Below are 20,781 nucleotides of genomic sequence, written 5' to 3'. Positions count from 1 at the left end.
AGGGATGGGGAGGAGGAGCCTGCAAAAAAACCAATGTCAGCCTTATGTCCTGAAAAAAAAATCAGTAAAAATTGAAATGCCCCAAACCATTAGGAAATGAGTCATATTATATAATTATATAATACATACATTATACCTAAATAATAAGCCATTTGTAGGCCGGGCATGGTGGCTCATGCCTGTAATCCCAGCACTTTGGGAGGCAGAGGTGGGCAGATCACAAGGTCAGGAGTACGAGACCAGCCTGGCCAATATGGTGAAACCCCCGTCTCTACTAAAAATACAAAAATTAGCCAGGTGTGGTGGCAGGCACCTGTAGTCCCAGTTACTCGGGAGGCTGAGGCAGGAGAATCGCTTGAATCTGGGAGGCAGACGTTGTAGTGAGCCAAGATCGTGCCACTGCACTCTAGCCTGGGCAGCAGAGCAAGACTCCGAAAAAAAAAAAAAAAGCCACTTGTGAGATAGTGGCTTCCAGGTTTTTCATCTCTGATATAGCAATTATCATTGCATCAATTACTTTGTAGTAATTTTCATACTTAACTTTCACTCTCATCAGGTGGTCATCCTCTTAAGGGTAGAGACTGTGATTAACCACCTGTTTATATACTCCAAGTCCGCTAGCATGGTGCCTAGTTAACTGAGCATATTCAGTCAATGAAGTACTTTTATATTTTATATATATGTATATATATATATTTGATAGGTAAATGTATTCACACTGTTCAAAACTCAAAGTTACATAAGGATATATAAAGTCAACAATTTCCCTTCCTTAGCCCACTGAACACCTGGTTTCCCTTCCTGGAGGTATCAATGTTACCTGTTACATAGTTCTTGTGTAATTCTTGAGAGATATTTCATGAATATTCAAACAAATATTTTGAATATACTCCTTTTTTTTTCTTTTTTGAGACAGGGTGGAATGCAGTGGTGCGATCATGGCTCACTGCAGCCTTGACTTCCCAGGCTCCAGTGATCCTCCCCTTCAGCCTCTGGAGTAGCTGCAACCACAGGCTCATGCCACCATGCCTGGCTAATTTTTGTTTGTTTGTTTCTTTCTCTGTTTGTTTGTTTTTGAGACGGAGTTTCCCTCTTGTTGCCCAGGCTGGAGTGCAATGGCATGATCTAGGCTCACCATAACCTCCGCTTCCTAGGTTCAAGCGTTTCCCCTACCTCAGCCTCCCGAGTAGCTGGGATTACAGGCATCCGCCACTATGCCCGGCTAATTTTTTGTATCTTTAGTAGAGACGGGGTTTCACCATGTTGGCCAAGCTGATCTCGAACCCCGGACCTCAGGTGATCCACCCGCCTCACCTTCCCAATGTGCTGGGATCACAGGTGTGAGCCATGTACCCGGAGAAATTTTGTATTTTTTGTAGAGCTATGGTTTTGCCATGTTGCCCAGGCTGGTCCCAAACTCCTAGAATCAAGCGATCCACCCATCTTGGCCTCCCAAAGAGCTAGGATTATAGGCATGAGCTACTGTGCCTGGCCAAATATACTCGTTTTAGCACCATGATAGCATATTATACACTGTTCTCTAGGTTGCTTGGACTTCAGGTAGTAACTGAAGTAAAAAAGGATATAAGGCAGGATGGGATTAATCCTAACAGTCTCTATGAGAAAATTGTTAAACAGCTAATAGTTCTCTGGGGAGGTTCAAGGTGGTGAGGCAGGCAGAATTATGGCTTGAGGTTGGGGGTGATAATAATAATAATTATTATTTTTTGAGACAAAGTCTCGCTCTGTCACCCAGGCTGGAGTGCAGTGGCACAATCTTGGCTCACTGCAACCTCTGCCTCCTGGGTTCAAGCAATTCTCCTGCCTCAGCCTCCCGAGTAGCTGGGATTACAGGCATGCACCACCACACCCGGCTAATTTTTGTATTTTTAGTAGAGATGGGGTTTCACCATGCTGGCCAGGCTAGTCTCAAACTCCCAACCTTGTGACCTGCCTGCCTTGGCCTCCCAAAGTGCTGGGATTACAGGCGTGAGCCACTGCGCCCGGCCAGGGATGATAATTATACTAGAAATATGGAACTGGGTGACTTCCCTTAAATCTTAGTGTCATGGCTAGAGGAGGGATAGGATGGTTAAGCCAGACTTGCAACTAATCCTAACAAATTAGCATGTAGCAGCCAAGAGGTAATGGTCACCTCAATGGTCAGCACAGGTCCTGGCACATAGTAGGCACTCCAGAGGAGTTAATTAATTATTTTGTGAATAACTGCTCTCAACCCATCTCAACTGGATCTAATCTAATGATATAATTATTGCCTTTCATCTCTAACACTATAATATTGTCTCATATATACAACCAGGCATGGGATTGGTTTCGAAATTCAGACTGGGTGAAGAGGGTATCCCCACAGGAGAAGAGCCCTAATATTGAGTATTGAAGCCCATGCAGAATTAGAAGGATGTCCCTGAATCATGGCGGCCCAGAATGGCAAGTCTAAGCCTGAAAGATTGGGAAAGCATCCACAGAGGGATGGGAGAAGGAAGAAGGGAGGGATGGGCCAGCCACAGGAGTTGGAGCCCAAGCATGGCAAGGAGGGCATGCACAGGGGGGATTGGACCAGCACAGGCTGCTGGAGCCCCAGAATATGAGGAAGGTGTCCCACATAAGGGCAGCATGGTGTGAAGTGTTTGAGTGAATGCAGGGTGATGGGGGCATATGTGTGAGGGTGGACTGGCATGGGATGTTGGGGCCCATGCAGGAGAGGAGGATACCCATGCTATGGGACAGCCTGGCACAAGACGTTGGAGTCTAAGCAGAGTGATAAAGATGTTCCCATAGAAGGGTAGCCTGGAGTCAGGTACTGGAGCCCGAGCAGGGAGAGCAGGGCCACACCTAAGCAGCCCGGGGTGAGAAGTCAGAGAGGAAATGGGGCGAGCAAGGCATCCCAGCAGGGAGGCAGCCCAGGATGGTGTGTCAGAGCCCAGGTAGAGTGGCAAGACCATCTATGCAGAAGTGGGGGTAGTAACAACTATTGGTTATGTAGACAGGGATTGATCAAATAAAAAAATACAAAGGATAATAATAAAAACCATCATTCTTGGAGAAGAGAGTTAGGAAAGGGGAGAGGAAGAAAACTGGAATAAACCCTGGGCTGTTTAATTGGAATTAGAACTATTAAAGCTATGTTTTCCAGTATAGAGAGATAGATATAAAAATAGGTAAATGTAAATATATGTACACATGTATGAATGTATATTCATATGGACACAAACACATACATACATTCCGTAGCTCTGTCCACAAAGAGGGCCTAGGAGCAGTAACACTCCAATACCAACGACAGGGATCGCCATGGTTTGTAAAACTGGTGGCTAGATAAAAAGCATAAGGAGATCTCTGTGCTCTTGCAGGTGTCATATCCTAAGCTTTGCTGAGGAGAACATCTTGATCCCGCTGTCAAAACATCTGAAGCCCATGGTGATCGGAATCTAACTAAAACTGCAAAAAAAAAAAAAAAAACCAAAAACACAAAATACCCCAGGCTCACTTTAACTTCAGATTATACTTACTCAGCTTCCTGTAGGATGGTCCTTTGTTGGGAGCAAATATTACTTTAACCTCTATTTTCCATTTTATGCAATGTCCAGCATAAATTTAAAACTACAAAGCATCTAAAGAAACAAGAAAATATAATCTATTATCAAGAGAGGAAATCATCAATAAAAGCTGGCCCCAAGTAGGTCCAGATTTTGCAATTATAAATGGGCTTTAAAATAACATTAACAAATATGACAAAGGACCTGGTGAAAAGGTAAACATCTTCTATGAACAAATGAGAAATTTTAACAAACAGTAGACACTTAAAGGATGAAAATACTAGGTCGGGCGCGGTGCTCACGCCTGTAATCCTAGCACTTTGGGAGGCCGAGGCGGGCCGATCACGAGGTCAGGAGATCAAGACCATCCTGTCTAACATGGTGAAACTCTGTCTCTACTAAAAATACAAAAAACTAGCCAGGCGTGGTGGCGGGCGCCTGTAGTCCCAGCTACTCAGGAGGCTGAGGCAGGAGAACGGCGTGAACCCGGGAGGCTGAGCTTGCAGTGAGCTGAGATTGCGCCACTGTACTTCAGCCTGGGCGACAGAGCGAGACTCCATCTCAAAAAAAAAAAAAAAGATTGAAAATACTAGAAATAAAAAACATATCAGGCCGGGCATGGTGGCTCACGCCTGTAATCCCAACACTTTGGGAGGCTGAGGCAGGCAGATCACCTGAGGTCAGGAGTTCGAGACCAGCCTGCCCAACAGAGTGAAACCCCATCTCTACTAAAAATACAAAAAATTAGCCGGGCATGGTGGCAGGTGCCCGTAATCCCAGCTACTTGGGAGGCTGAGGTGGGACAATAACTTGAATCCAGGAGGCGGAGGCTGCAGTGAGCTAAGATCATGCCACTGCACTCCAGCCTGGGTGACAAGAGCGAAATTCCATCTCAAAAAAAGAAAAAAAAAATATCAGAGGCCGGGCACGGTGGCTCACGCCTGTAATCCCAGCACTTTGGGAGGCTGAGGCGGGCGGATCACAAGGTCAGGAGATTGAGACCATCCTGGCTAACACGGTGAAACCCCGTCTCTACTAAAAATACAAAAAATTAGCTGGGCGTGGTGGCAGGCGCCTGTAGTCGCAGCTACTCGGGAGGCTGAGGCAGGAGAATGGCCTGAACCCAGGAGGCGGAGCTTGCAGTGAGCCGAGATCGCACCACTGCACTCCAGCCTGGGCTACAGAGCAAGACTCTGTCTCAAAAAAAAAAAAAAAGATCAGAAATGAAGAAGTAATTTGATGTACAGTAGACTGGACACAGCAGTGGAAATGAACAGTAAACTTAAAATCAGATCAATAAGAATATGTCATGCATTGCTTAACAATGCGAATACATTCTGAGAAATGCATCATTAGGCAATTTTGTCATTGTGTGAACATCATAGAGTATATTCACACATACCACACAGCCTACTACACACCTAGGTTGCTTGGAATAGCCTATTGCTCCTAGGCTACAAACCTGCACAGCATGTTACTGTACTGAATACAGCAGGCAATTGTAACCCAATGGTAAATATTTATATATCTAAACAAATCTAAACATAGGAAAGTTACAATAAAAATACACCATAAAAGATAAAATATGGTACACCTATATAGGGCACTTACCATAAATGGAGCTTACAGGATTGGAAGTTGCTCTGGGCGAGTAAGTGGTGAGTGAATGTGGAGGCCTAGGACATTACTGCACACTACTGTGGACTTTATAAACAGTGGACACTTCGGCTACTCTAAATTTATTTTATTTATTTATTTATTTGTTTATTTTTGAGATGGAGTTTTGCTCGTTGCCCAGGCTGGAGTACAGTGGCACAATCTCGGCTCACCGCAACCTCCATCTCCTGGGTTGAAGCGATTCTCCTACCTCAGACTCCCAAGTAGCTGGGATTACAGGCATATGCCACCATGTCCAGCTAATTTTGTAGTTTTAGTAGAGATGGGGCTTCACCATGTTGGTCAGGCTGGTCTTGAACTCCCAACTCCAGGTGGTCCACCCACCTCGGCCTCCCAAAGTGCTGGGATTACAGGCATGACCCACTGCGCCTGGCCACTAAATTTGTTTATTTTTAAAATTTTTCTTTCTTCAATAATAAATTAACCTTAGCTTACTGTAACTAAATTAACTTTATAAACTTTTTCATCTTTTAGCTTTTTGACTCTTTTAATAACACTTAACTTCAAGCACACATTGTACAGCTGTACAAAATATTTCCTTCTGTATATCCTTATTCTTTAGGCTTTTTCCTTTTATTTATTTATTTTTTTTTTTGAGACTGAGTCTCACTCTGTCACTCAGGCTGGAGTGCAATGGCACGATCTCAGCTCATTGCAACCTTTGCCTCCCAGAGTCAAGCGATTCTGCCTCAGCCTCCTGAGTAGCTGGGTCTACAGGTGTGCACCACCATGCCTGGCTAATTTTTTGTGTTTTTAGTAGAGATGGGGTTTCGCCATGTTGGCCAGGCTGGTCTCAAACTCCTGACCTCAGGTGATCCACCTGCCTTATCCTCCTAAAGTGCTGGGATTACAGGCATGAGCCACCATGCCCAGCCGCTTTTTTCTATTTTTAAAATTTGTTATTTATGTTTCTGCTTGAGGTTGTTTTACAGTCAACTTTATACATATATATATAATGTAATGTTATATATATGTGAAGTACATTCTAAAATAATGATAAATGTATACTAAATACATAAACCAGTAACATAGTCTTTTTTTGTCATTATCAAGTATTATATACTATACATTATTGTGTGTGCTATACTTTTATACAACCGGCAGCACAGGTTTGTTTACACCAGCATCACTACAAACACAGGAGAAATGTGTTGCACTACAACTTTATGATGGCTACAACATCACTAGGTGATAGGAATTTTTCAGCTTTATTATAATCTTATGGGGCCAACATCATATATGTGGTCTGTTGTTGGCTAAACTGTCATTATACAGCACGTGACTGTAATCCAACTAAAACACAAATAGAAAAATGTTGGGGGGATAAAACAGAGCATCTATGATCCTTAGGATGATAGCAAATGGTTTAACATATTTGTAATTGAAGTCCCATAAGGAAAAGAAAGAGTGAGACAGAAGAAATCTTTGGAGAGATAATAGACAAGAATTTTCTAAAACTAATAAAAGAAATCAAGTCACAGATTGCATCAGCTCAGTGAACTCCAAGCAGAATAAATACAAAGAAAACCAACCTCAGGTACATCACAGTCAAAGTGTTGAAAATCAAAGATAAAAATAAATTATTAAAAGCAGCCAAAGAAAAATTATGAATGATGGGTAATTTCTCATCAGAAACAGTAGAGGCCAGAAGACAATAGAAAAGCTTCCCCATCCCCTAATATGGTTTGGCTGTGTCCCCACCCAAATCTCATCTTGAATTGTAGCTCCCATAATTCCTACATGTTGTGGGAGGGACCCGGCGGGAGGTAACTGAATCACGGGAGTGAATCTTTCCCATGCTGTTCTTGTGATAACGTCTCACGAGACCTTATTTCTGACTGGACTCAGACTTAGATGTAGAAGCTCACAGAGAGGAAAGTCTGTGTCTCTTCGCAATTTGTTCCTGGCGCTTCTCTTTAGCCTCCTTCATTCCCTTGCCTAAAAGTTTAGCATATTCTGCAGCCTCTTCCTTATTTTTCTTAGTACACGGCTTCTTCAGAGCAATATGCTGCCCTTTGTGCTGCAGGAAATGTGGAGTAACAAGATGCTGAATCTTGGGTGCTTTGGTCCTAGGTTTCTTACCTCCTTTGTTTGAGGGCTTTCTTACAACATACTGGCGGACATCATCTTCTTCAGAGAGATTGGAAAGTTTGCAGATTCTGCTAGCTTTTTTGGGCCCCAGGCGACAAGGCACCATAGTATCAGTCAGTCCAGGAATATCCTTCTTTACTTTTTTTTTTTTTTTAACAATAATCAAGTTGAGAATGCTCAGATTGGCATCCACTATGCAACCACGAACTGATTTTCTCTTTCTTTCTCCAGTTCTCCTTGGTCTGTAACAGGAATGCCCCTTACTCAGTAGCAGGTGGACACGGCCATGGGTCAAGACACCCTGCTTCATGGGAAAACCTTGTTTGTTGTTCCCACCACTGATTCGGACCACATAACCTTTCCATTCTTCACCCAGAGTGTCAGCAGCAACTTCTGTGGCCATAAGCTTCTCATAAAAAGTACGAAGTTTGCATTCATCATCCACTTCAATGAGTTTCTGGCAGCCAGTGACCGGGAAGGAGATGTTCAGCTTCATCTTGAAGCAGCTGAATGCCTCCAAGACCTGATGGCTTTCTAAAGGGAGTTCCCCTCTACTTCTCTCTTGCTTGCCACCATGTAAGACATGCCTTGCTCCTCCTTTGCTTTCCACCATGATTGTAAGGCCTCTCCAGCTATGTGGAACTGTGAGTCCATTAAACCTCTTTTTTTCTTTTTCTTTTTGTTTTTTTAGTAGAGACGCGGTTTCACCATGTTAGCCAGGATGGTCTCGATCTCCTGACCTCGTGATCCACCCGCTTTGGCCTCCCAAAGTGCTGGAATTACAGGGGTGAGCCACTGCGCCCAGCCAAACCTCTTTTTCTTTATAAATTATCCAGTCTCAGGTATGTCTTCTATTAGCAGCATGAGAACAGACCAGTACACCCCACACCCTCCCCCCCAAAATAGAAAAGCTTTCTTAAATAACTGAAACAAAAAAAAGCAAAACCTGTCAGCCTAGATGTCTATTTATATTTCTTTCTTCTTTTTTTTTTTTTTTGAGACAGAGTCTCACTCTGTCTCCCAGGCTGGAGTGCAATGGCATGACCTCGGCTCACTGCAACCTCCAACTCCCGGGTTCAAGCAATTCTCCTGCCTCAGCCTCGCGAGTAGCTGGGACTACAGGCGTGTGCCACCACGCCCGGCTAATTTTTTGTATTTTTAGTAGATAAGGGGTTTCACCGTGGTATCCAGGATGGTCTCTATCTCCTGATCTTATGATCTGCCCACCTCAGCCTCCCAAAGTGCTGGGATTACAGGTGTGACCCACCGCGCCCGGCCACGTCTATTTATATTTCAACCTAAAGGTAAATAAGGATATTTTCAGAAAAAAGGAGAAATTCATTTCCAGAAAACCTGCTCTACCAGAAATGATTAACAGAAATAATGTCAATGGAAGCATAGATCTGTAGGAAACAATAAGAGACCCAGAGAGCATAAATATGAATCTAAATAGAAAAGAGAGCTATACTTTTTTTTTTCTGTTTAGTTACATGATCTCACTCTGTTGCCCAGGCTGGAGTGCAGTGGCATGATCATAGCTCACTGCAGGCTTGACTCCTGGGCTCAAGCAAATCTCCTGCCTCAGCCTCCCAAGTAGCTAAGACCACAGGCACATGCCACCATCCTTGGTTAATTTTTTTATTTTTCTATTTTTTAGAGAGAGGGTCTTGCTATGTTTCCCAGGCTGGTCTCAAACTCCTGACCTCAAGCAATCCTCCCACCTCAACCTCCTAAGTAGCTGGGATTACAGGCATGATCACTGCTCCTGGCTTATCTACACATTTTAAAAAGACAATTGGCTGCCAATATAATAACAATATATTTCAAAATATATAACATTTAGAAGTAAAATATAGGACAACAAGAGCTCAAAGAATTGGAAATGGGTAAAAAGAATTGGAAGTGGGTAAATAGAATTAGTGTTAGAATCACAAAAGGAGAATAATTTGAAGGTAGACTGTTAAAGATATTTGTAATCTCAAGAAAAACTACTCAAAATAAAAGATGATTAGCTAAAAAGTCAATGGTATATTTAAAAATACTCAATTTATTGAAAAGTGGGCAGGAAAAGAGAAACAGAGTGTATTCGTCCATTCTTGCATTACTATAAAGAAATACCTGAGACTGGGTCATTTATAAAGAAAAGAGGTTTAACTGGCTCACAGTTCTGCAGGCTGTACAGGAAGCATGGCGGCATCTGATTCTGGGGAGGCCTCAGGACCCTTTTACTCATGGAGGAAGGCAAAGCCGGAGCAGGCATCTTACATGGCAGAAGCAGGACCAAGGATAGAGGGGTAGGACAGAGCGGCAGGTGCCACACACTTTTTTTTTTCTTTTTTCTTTTTTCTTTTTTGAGACAGAGTCTTGCTCTGTCGCCTAGGCTGGAGTGCAGTGGCGCAATCTCGGCTCACTGCAACCTCCGCCTCCCGGGCTCAAGCAATTCTCCTGCCTCAGCCTTCCAAGTAGCTGGGATTACAGGCACCTGCCACCACGCCCAGCTAATTTTTGTATTTTTAGTAGAGACGGGGTTTTACCATGTTGGCCAGGCTGGTCTTGAACTCCTGACCTCAGGAGATCTACCCACCTCGGCCTCCCAAAGTGCTGGGATTACAGGGGTGAGCCACCGTGCCCGGCCGGTGCCACATACTTTTAAATGACCAGATCTCATGAGAACTAACTCATTATCATGAGGACAGCACCAAAGGGGAAACCCACTCCCACGATCCAGTCACCTCCTAGCAGGCCCCACCTCCAACACTGGAGATTACAATTTGACATGAGATTTGGGCAGGGACACAGACCCAAGCTATATCACAGAGAAACAAACAACAGATGGAACAAGTAGAAAAAAATGTTATGGGTTTTTTATTTGTTAAAAGTAAACCTAAAAATACCAAAAAATCATGTTAAATACAAATGAGACAAGCCTGGGCAATAAAGTGGGATCCCATCTCTACAAAAAAAGTTTGAAGATTCACCAGGCATGATGGTGCATACTTATAGGCCCAGCTACTCAGGAGGCTGAGGTGGAAGAATTGCTTGAGCCCAGGAGGTCGAGGTTTCAGTGAGGCATGATGGTGCCACTACACTCCAGCCTGGGTGACAGAGTGAGACCCTGTCTCAAAAAAAAAAAAAAAAAATGCTAATAGACTAGCCCCTCCAATTAGAAAACAGAGAACAAAAATCTCAGGTTACTTTGTTTACAAGAAACATCTTAGAAATATAAAGACACAACCAAGTTGAAAGTAAAATAGTAAAAAAGTATATATTGTACAAACACTAAACTTAAGAAAACAATATTTGGGTTGGGCACAGTGGCTTACGCCTGTAATCTAAGCATTTTGGGAGGCCAAGGCGCACAGGTCACTTGAGGCTAGGAGTCTGAGACCAGCCTGGCCAACATGGTGAAACTCTGTCTCTATTAAAAATACAAAAATTAGCCAGGTGTGGTGGTACACATTATAATCTCAGCTACTTGGGAGGCTGAGGCAGGAGGATCACTTGAACCTGAGAGGCAGTGCTAGTAGCAAGACAAGATTGCACCACTGCACTCCAGCCTGGATGACAGAGCAAGACTCCCTCCCAAAAAAAAAAAAAAAAAAAAAAGCAATGTTTGGCTTGTTTATAGCTATATTAATATCAGATAAAGCATCTTTCTTTCTTTCTTTTTTTGAGACAAAGTCTTGCTCTGTCACCCAGGCTGAAGTGCAGTGGTGCGATCTCGGCTCACTGCAACCTCTGCCTCCCGGGTTCAAGCAATTCTCCTGCCTCAGCCTCCAGAGTAGCTGGGATTACAGGCCCCTGCCACCGCACTCAGCTACTTTTTGTGTTTTTAGTAGAGACGGGGTTTCACCATGTTGGCCAGGCTGGTCTCGAACTCCTGACCTCCTGATCCGCCCGCCTTGGCCTCCCAAAGTGCTGGGATTACAGGCGTGAGCCACCACGCCCAGCCCAAATAAAATCTTTCAAGCGAAGAGTATTCCAGAGATAAAGAATATTTCTTAATACTAAAACGTTTAATTAGTTAAGACATAAAAGTCCTAAATCTGTATACACTTAATAAGAGAGCTTTAAAATATGTAAAGCAAAAATTAACAGACTAAAAAGAAATAAATGAATCCACAAACATATGGAGATTTTAATAACCCCTCTTAGTAACTGTTAGAATAAGTTGGGGAAAAAAGTGACATCATAGAAAATTTGATAGCATTACCAATTAGTTTGACTTAATTGACTACAGAATATCATACTCAAAAATTGCAGAGTACACATTCTTTTGAAGTGCTCAAGGAATATACACTGAGATGCGCTATATGCTAGTCCATAAACAAGCCTCAAAAAATGGCAACAGATCAAATTCATTCAGGTTATGGTTTTTCTTTTTTCTTTTTCTTTTTTTTTTTTTTTTTGAGACAGAGCCTTGCTTTGTCACCCAGGCTGCAGTGCAGTGGCACTATCTCAGCTCACTGCTACCACCACTTCCTGGGTTCAAAAGATTCTCATGCCTCAGCCTTCTGAGAACCTGGGATTACAGGTGTGTGCCACCACACCCTGCTAATTTTTGTATTTATAGTGGAGACGGGGTTATATCATGTTGGCCAGGCTGGTCTCGAACTCCCAGCCTCAAGTGATCTGCCTGCCTCTGCCTCCCAACATGCTGGGATTACAGGTGTGAGCCACCATGCCCAGCCCAAGTTATGTAATTAAGTAAAATGTTTTTAAGATCTTCAAATATTCTGAAATTAAGCAACACTCTTCAAAATAACCTTGAATCAAAAAAAATCACAAAAGACAATAGAAAGTATTTCAATCTGAATGATGATGAAAACACAGTGTATCAGTATGTGCAGGATGCAGGCCAAGTGTGCTGGCTCATACCTGTAATCTTGGCACTTTAGGAGGCCAAGGCAGGAGAATCACTTGAAGCTAGGAGTTCGAGACCAGCCTAAGCAACCTAGCAAGACCCCGACTCTACAAAAATTTCAAAAATTATCCAGGTGTGGTGGGAGGCACCTGTAGTCCCAGCTACTCTGGAGATTGAGGTGGGAGGGTCGCTCCCAGGAGGGAACCCAGGAGGTTGAAGCTTCAGTGAGCTGTGATTGTGCCACTGCACTCCAGCCTGGGTGATGAAGCAAGATCCTGTCTGGAAAACAAAAAAAGAAAAAAAGAAGAAGAATGATTTAATAATTAAAATCCCAAATCCAAATGGCTTCACCGTTCAATTCTATCCAACATTTAAGGAAGAAATAACAGCAATTTTACACAAACCAAACTCTGGTCAGCATGATCATGTGGTGTGTCAGAGTGGGTGGAAAAGAAAAGTGCCTGAAAAGAGAAAAAAGAATGCCCCAAAGGTGCTCAGCTGACTTGAAAGTATTCTCAAAGTAGACGCAATGTTTTAAAGAAAGATGTTCAAGAGACAGCAACTGTGGTGATGCCAGACACTGCCAAGAGGAAATGAGTGTGTGGTGAAAGATGAAAAAGATGACACAAAAATGGAGGCTGATATTAAGAGGAAAAAAAGGTTTTCTAGACCAGTATGGGCAGTAACCAGTATGGAAGAAGTAGAGGTAAAGAAAAAGGCTGAGGCCAGGGGCGGTGGCTCACGCCTGGAATCTCAGCACTTTGGGAGGCCAAGGCAGGCAGATCACCTGAAGCTAGGAATTCGAGACCAGCCTGGCCAACATGGTGAAACCCTGTCTCTACTAAAAATACAAAAATTAGCCGGGTGTGGTGGTGCAAGCCTATAGTCCCAGCTACTTGGGTGGCTGAGATATGAGACTCACTTGAACTCCAAGAGGCAGAGGTTGCAGTGAACCAAGATAGCACCACTGCACTCCAGCCTGGGTAATAGAGCGAGACTCTGTCTCAAAAAAAAAAAAGGAAAGAAAAAGTCTGAAGGCAAAATGAGAGGAAAGAAAGGAGAAGAGCAAAGCAAAGGTGGTAAAAGCAGTGAAGTGTTTAGACTGGTAGACTCTTAAAAATTTGGAAAATGCCACATGGCACAGATGTCTGATTAGAACGCAAATATTCATTTCAGCTCCTACCAAATAAAAACCATCTGCTTTCATATTTTAACTTGGCCTTTTGCTTCCATTCAAACCCAACATACTCAAGTTTGTTTTGGGAACTTGAGTAAAATACTTTATTTAATGCATGAAAGCTATACTGATGTTTTAATTGGATGCTGTCCAATATCCAGGTATTATCAGACATCAAAATTCTGCCAAGAATGTGGTTGTAATTTTTTGTTTTTACAACTTGGTAATCATAGTTAGTAAAGATAAAACGAGGCTGGGCATGGTGGCACACGCCTGTTATCCCAGCACTTTGGGAGGCCAATGCAGGTGGATCACCTGAAGTCAGGAGTTCACGACCACCCTGACTAACATGATGGAACCCCATCTCTACTAAATACAAAAAAATTAGCCGGGCATGGTGGTGCATCCCTATAATCCGAGCTACTTGGGAGGCTGAGACAGGAGAATTGCTTGTGCCTGGGAGGCAGAGGTTGCAGTGAGCCGAGAACACACCATTGCACTCCAGCCTGAGCAACAAGAGTGAAACTCCGTCTCAAAAAAAAAAAAAACCATCAAATTTGAGTGAACTCAGATTTAAAGAAAGCTATTATGTAATCATATTATTTAAAAATATAACATTAGTGGATCTTATAAACAGTACTTGTTTGAAGTTTTTTGTATAATTCAGAATGAAAAATCTTTTGTGTATGAAAAATATTTTGTTTATAAAAAAAAATTTTTTTTTTTTTTGAGACGGAGTCTCACTCTGTCGCCCAGGCTGGAATGCAGTGGCATGATCTCCGCTCACTGCAAGCTCCACCTCCCGGGTTCACGCCATTCTCCTGCCTCAGCCTCCCGAGTAGCTAGGACTACAGGCACCCGCCACCATGCCTGGCTAATTTTTTGTATTTTTAGTAGAGATGGGGTTTCACCATGTTAGTCAGGATGGTCTCGATCTCCTGACCTCATGATCCTCCCGTCTCGGCCTCCCAAAGTGCTGGGATTACAGGCGTGAGCCATCGTGCCTGGCCTTATAAAAAAATTTTTACACAAACCTTTCAGAAAATAGAGAATGGGCTGGGTGCAGTGGCTCATGCCTGTAATCCCTACACTTTGGGAAGCCAAGGCAGGAGGATCACTTGAGCCCAGGAGTTCAAGACCAGCCTGGACAACATGGTGAAACCCTCTCTCTTAAAAAAAAAAATGCAAAAATTAGCCAAGTATGGTGGTGCACAGCTGTGGTCCCAGCAACTTGGGAGTCTGAAGTGGGAGGATCACTTGAGTCTGGGGAATTGGAGGCTGCAGTGGACTGTGATCTTGCCACTGCACTCCAGCCTGGGTGATAGAGCAAGACTCTGTCTCAAAAAAAGGAAAGGCCGGGCGCGTTGGCTCATGCCTTTAATCTTAGCACTTTGGGAAGCTGAGGCGGGTGGATCACCTGAGGTCAGGGGTTCGAGACCAGCCTGGCCAAAATGGTGAAACCCTGTCTCTACTAAAAATACAAAAATTAGCCGGGCATGGTGGTGGGCACCTGTAATCCCAGCTACTCAGGAGGCTGAGGCAGGAGAATCACTTGAACCTGAGGGGCGGAGGTTGCAGTAAGCCAAGATCAAGTCACTTTATTCTAGCCTGGGCAAAAAGTAGAGAATGAGGAAACTTTTTTTTTTTTTTTTTTTTTTTTTTGAGACGGAGTTTCACTCTTGTTGCCCAGGTTGGAGTGAAATGGTGCGATCTTGGCTCACCACAACCTCCGCCTCCCAGGTTCAAGCGATTCTCCTGCGTCAACCTCCCAAGTAGCTGGGACTACACTACAGGCATGAGCCACCACACCTGGCTAATTTTGTATTTTTAGTAGAGACAGGTTTTCTCCATGTTGGTCAGGCTGGTCTCAAACTCCTGACCTCAGGTGATCCACCCACCTCAGCATCCCAAAGTGCTGGGGTTACAGGCGTGAGCCACTGCGCCCAGCCGAGGAAACACTTCTTAATTCATTTTATAAGGCCAGCATAACCCTGATACCAAATCTTGCCAAAGACATTACCAAAAAAGAAAAGTATAGACAAATTATGATATATCCATGTAATGGAATACTACTGAGCAATAAAAAGGAATGAACTATTGAAACACACAACATGGATGAAACTCAAAATAATTATCCCAAGTGAAAGAGGTCAGATTTTAAACAGAATACACTGTATTTAGCCAGGTGCTGTGGCATGCATCTGTATTCCCAGCTGCTTGGGAGGCTGAGGCAGGAAAATCGCTTAAGCCTGGGAGGCAGAGGTTGCAGTGAGCCGAGATCACACCATTGCACCTCAGCCTGGGTATCAGGAGTAAAACCCTGTCTTAAAAAACAAAAAAGAAATGATTCCATTTATACAAAACTCTAAAAATGCAAACTACTTTGCATATTGACAGAAAGCATATCAGTGGTTTCCTGGTGTCAGGCAGGGAGGAGGAAGCAAGGAAAGGCAGGAGGGAGGGATGACAAGGAGCATGAGGAAACTTTGGGGATGATGGATGTGTTCATTATCTTCATCGTGGTCACAGCTTCATGGATGTATATATATGTCAAAACCTATCAAATCCAGTATGTGTATGGGTTTTTTTTTTTTTTTGAGACAGGGTCTTGCTATTTTGGCCAGGCTAGTCTCGAACCCCTGGCCTCAAGCGATCCGCCTGCCTCAGCTTCCCAAAGTACTGGGATTACAGGTATGAGCCACCACACCCAGCCATGTTTTTGATACCTCAGTAAATCTGCTGTGGGGAGGAGACAAGGAGAGAGAGAGAGAAAGAAAGAAAGAAAGAGAGAAGTCAGCAAGAGAGAAGGAAAGAGAGAGACAGAGAAGGGTGAGGGAGAGAGAGAGAGATTTTCCATGGGAAAAAATTTCCACAGTGAAGAATAGCTAAAATCAAAAAGCCTGACAACACCAAATATTGGAAAGGCTGGAAGCAACTGAAACTCTCTTACCTGCTGGCCCTGGCATGTCCCAAGCACAGAAGGGAAAGCTGGAACATTTTGAGAAACACACTCCAAAGTGCAGGGATTCCTGAGGAGCAGGCCTGGGGAAGGGTCTCACTTGCCCAGGTCTAAAGTTGGTGCTGTTCAGGGGCTATGGGAGGTGGTGTTCCCCACTTTTCCTCCCGCAGAACTCCCTCACAATAGAAGGGGGTTGGGACCCAAGTCAGGCCCCAAAGCAGCACTTGCCCACTCCACACTCAGGCCGTAACCGCACATTCTGATCAGCATGAGAGGACCACTCCAATTTCCTAACATTTCTAACGAATGCAAAACACTTGACCTTAAAGTTGACCTGTGCAGGCTTATTTGGGGTAAATAGAAGGTTTCTATTAGGCTCTGGAAACAGTGAAAATAGCTCACACACCTATAAACTCTCAAGGAACTGGAGAATCATCCTGGTTTGAAACCAGAATTTGAAGGCCCCACTCAGTTTGAACGTGGGAGATGGAGGTTGCAGTGAGCCAAGATTGAACCACTGCACTCCAGCCTGGGCAACACAGTGAGACTTCACCTCAAAAAAAGAAAAAAAAAAAAAAAAAGGCTGGGCTTGGTAGCTCACACCTGTAATCCCAGTGCTTTGGGAGGCCAAGGTGGATGGATCATGAGGTCAAGAGATCGAGACCAGCCTGGCCGACATGGTGAAACCCCATCTCTACTAAAACTACAAAAATTAGCTGGGCGTGGTGGCGCACACCTGTAATCCCAGCTACTCAGTAGGCTGAGGCAGGAGAATCGCTTGAACCGAGGAGGTGGAGGTTACAGGGAGCCAAGATCACGCCACTGCATACCAACCTGGTGACAGAGTGAGACTCTGTCTCAAAACAAACAAACAAAAAAAAGTTGGGCTGGGCACGGTCCCTCACGCCTGTAATCCCAGCACTTTGGGAGGCCAAGGCAGGCGGGTCATGAGATCAGGAGATCGAGACCATCCTGGCCAACATGATAAAACCCCGTCTCTACTAAAATACAAAAAATTAGCTGGGCGTGGTGGTGCACTCCTGTAATTCCAGCTACTCAGGTGGCTGAGGCTGGGGAATCGCTTGAACCCGGGAGGCAGAGATTGTAGTGAGCTGAGATCACACCACTGCACTCCAGCCTAGGGATAGAGCAGGTCTACATCTCAAAAAAAATTTTTAAAAAGTTAATTTCATAATGAAACATAAAATAATGCTTTTAAAGACTATTGCGGGCTCAAACCTTCGCGCTGACATGGCTAAATGCACCAATAAAGTTGGAATTGTCAGTAAATACAGGATCCGCTATAGTTAGTTAATTTCATAATGAAAAGTTAATTTCATAATGAAACATAAAATAACGCTTTTAAAGATTATTGCGGGCTCAAAACTTTGCACTGACATGGCTAAATGCACCAATAAAGTTGGAATTGTCGGTAAATACAGGATCCGCTATGGTGCCTCCTTCCAGAAAATGGTGAAGAAAATTGAAACCGGCTAGCACGCCAAGTACAATTGCTCTTTCTGTGACAAAACCAAGATGAAAAGACGAGATATGGGGGTCGGGCACTGTGGTTCGTGCATGAAGACAGTAGCTGGTGGTGGCTGAACCTACAATACCACTTCTGCCGTCACAGCAAAGTCTACAGTCAGAAGACTGAAGGAATTGAAAGACCAGATGTTTCTCCACCATTGGAGACATCACTAGCCTTTAATAAATGGGTTAACTTATGTAATAATAAAAAAGGACCATTATCAGCATAATTCCCTAGGGCTATTGTCCTAAACTTACTTACTTTTTTTTCTTTGAGACCGAGTCTTGCTCTATTGCCCAGCCTGGACTGCAGTGGTGCCATCTCGGCTCACTGCAACCTTCACCTCCTGGGTTAAAGCGATTCTCGAGCCTCAGCCTCCAGAGTAGCTGGGAATACAGGTGCCCACCACCATGCCTGGCTAATTTTTGTATTTTTAGTAGAGATGAGGTTTCACCATGTTGGCCAGGCTGGCCAAACCTTCTTGATATGCATCCTATTCAACATAATATCTTTAACATACTTGCACATATGTTAAACAATTACATACATAATAAATATATACAAATATGCCATATCCATACATATTTATTATGAATTGTTTACAGCAAAACTTTACACTATAACACATAAAAAATATAAATTAGAAATGGATGGGTTAAATACAGATAAAGGTTCTAGTGTCTTCCACACCCCAACAGACCGCCTTGTAATATGTTGTCCCTGGATGCCCGTGCCCCAGGGCACGGAAACAACTTCTTTAGGCCATAGAGAAGAGAAATGAGCCCTGGCTGCAGGCCACTGGCCAAAGAGTGACTCAGGGACTCTGGAGAACACAGTAGGAGAAGGGGCAGGAAATGATTACATGGCTGAGTACCATAAAACCATGAAGTTTATGGACAGGCTGTAAATCTGAACATGACACCCTTCTCCCCTTTCCTCTCTCTCCCAGCAACCCGCCCAGGTGGGCCACTCTTCTGTCATTCCCACATAACCCTCTCAGTCAGAGACTTGTCCTTGTAGGGCCCTCTCGTCCCCTTCAAGGCTGCCCTTGGTGATCACACATAATTCTGAGTTCACCCAGACATAGATGCTGAAGAGGTGAGGTACAAAGTGTGACTTACCCACACGCCGCACTGACAATAGACCCTAGTGCCTGGTTAGGGGCATCACTGGCATTTATTAGGAAAATGAGTTAGGCTAGCCAGCCTTCTCTAAAGCATACTTCTGTCGCCTAACTACTCCCACTACTCTTCTCTTTTTTTTGAGATGGAGTCTCACTCTGTTGCCCAGCCTGGAGTGCAGCGGCATGATCTCGGTTCACTGCAACCTCCACCTCCTGGGTTCAAGTGATTCTTCTGCCTCAGTCTCCCGAGTAGTGGGATTAGCAGGCACGAGCCACCACACCCAGCTAATTTTTGTATTGTTAGTAGAGACGGGGTTTCACCATGTTGGCCATGCAGGTCTCGAATTCCTGACCTCAAATGATCTGCCCACCTCGGCCTCCCAAAGTGCTGGGATTATAGGCATGAGCCACTGCACCCAGCCCCCACTACTCTACTCAAAAAGGAGCCTTCAGTCTTCAAGACTGAAAAGCAGGGCCTGTTTTTTCTCAGGCAGATATTATGAACAAAATTCCACTGAACTTTTTTTTTAATTGAGGGAGTCTTTAGTGTCTGTCTTAAATGGCTAAGAGCTTGTGGGCACACTCTAAAACATATACAAACCTGTAAACATACACATACTTCCTTTAAGTATCTTCAAAGGAAAAATGAACAGATTCTGGTGATCACCAACATCCTCTCTGTCTTCACATGCTGATTTTATGTGAGGTTTCACGTGAATCTTCTGGCAGTCCAAAGGTCACTTTTATTTTCTGGAGATTTAGTAAAAAACACAAAACTATGGTGCTCAATTTCATTTTGTCAGCATAGGCTCACCCTGCAAAATTCCTGAATACCCTTGGATGAATTTAAGAAATCACGGAAGACAGAATAAAGAATAACTACGCTGCGCCGGGTGTGGTGGCTCACGCCTGTAATCCCAGCACTTTGGGAGGCCAAGGCAGGCGGATCGCCTGAGGTCGGGAGTTTGAGACCAGCCTGACCAACATGGAGAAAACCCGTGTCTACTAAAAATACAAAATTAGCCGGGCATGGTGGTGCATGCCTGTAATCCCAGCTACTTGGGAGGCTAAGGCAGGAGAATCCCTTGATCCTGGGAGGCAGAGGTTGCGGTGAGCCAAGATCACGTCATTGCACTCCAGCCTGGGCAACAAGAGCAAAACTCTGTCTCAAAAAAAAAAAAAAAAAAAAAGACTAGGCTGCAGTTTTAAAATATGACAAACAAGCTTTTCTGATCTGCAGTTTCCTCGAGAAATGACTCATGACCTCCAGTAAAAGAAATAATATATGCCAGTCACCTGGCAAACTCCTAACACACAGGAGGCTCTCCTCAGCCCTATTGTAAAGAATCACTTATTTACTATTTACCTTTTAGAGACAGGGTCTTACCCTGTCACCCAGGCTAGAACGCAGCAGCACAATCATAGCTTACTGCAATCTCATCCTCCAAGACTCAAATGATTGTCTTGTCTCAGCCTCCCAAGTAGCTAGGACCATAGGCGGGGTCCGCCATGCCCAGCTAATTTTTTATTATTTTTGTAGAGATGGGGTTCTGCTGTGTTACCCAGGCTGGTCTCAAACTCCTGGCCTCAAGCAATCCTCCCACCTTGGCCTCCCAAAGTGCTGGGATTATAGGCATGAGCCACCATGCCCTGTCCAAGAATCACTTATTTAAAACCAAACCAACAACCATTACAAATGTACAAATAGACGTATGTCAAATAAGAAATCTTTGGATAGTCCCCACTCTTGACCCACCCAGAAATCGCGACAGGGATGTTGGTTTTAAGTTGGCACTGGATTT

The 20,781-nt window shown here is 43.9% G+C and overlaps 2 pseudogenes; one reads left to right on the top strand and one right to left on the bottom strand.

The window, feature by feature from the left end:
- Positions 7,052 to 7,846, bottom strand: RPS6P1 (ribosomal protein S6 pseudogene 1; annotated as a pseudogene).
- Positions 17,724 to 17,999, top strand: RPL37AP9 (ribosomal protein L37a pseudogene 9; annotated as a pseudogene).

The sequence above is a fragment of the Homo sapiens genome, chromosome 12 (genome assembly GCF_000001405.40).
Source record: "Homo sapiens chromosome 12, GRCh38.p14 Primary Assembly".
Taxonomy (NCBI): domain Eukaryota; kingdom Metazoa; phylum Chordata; class Mammalia; order Primates; family Hominidae; genus Homo; species Homo sapiens.
This window is presented reverse-complemented; position numbering and strand designations above follow the sequence as displayed.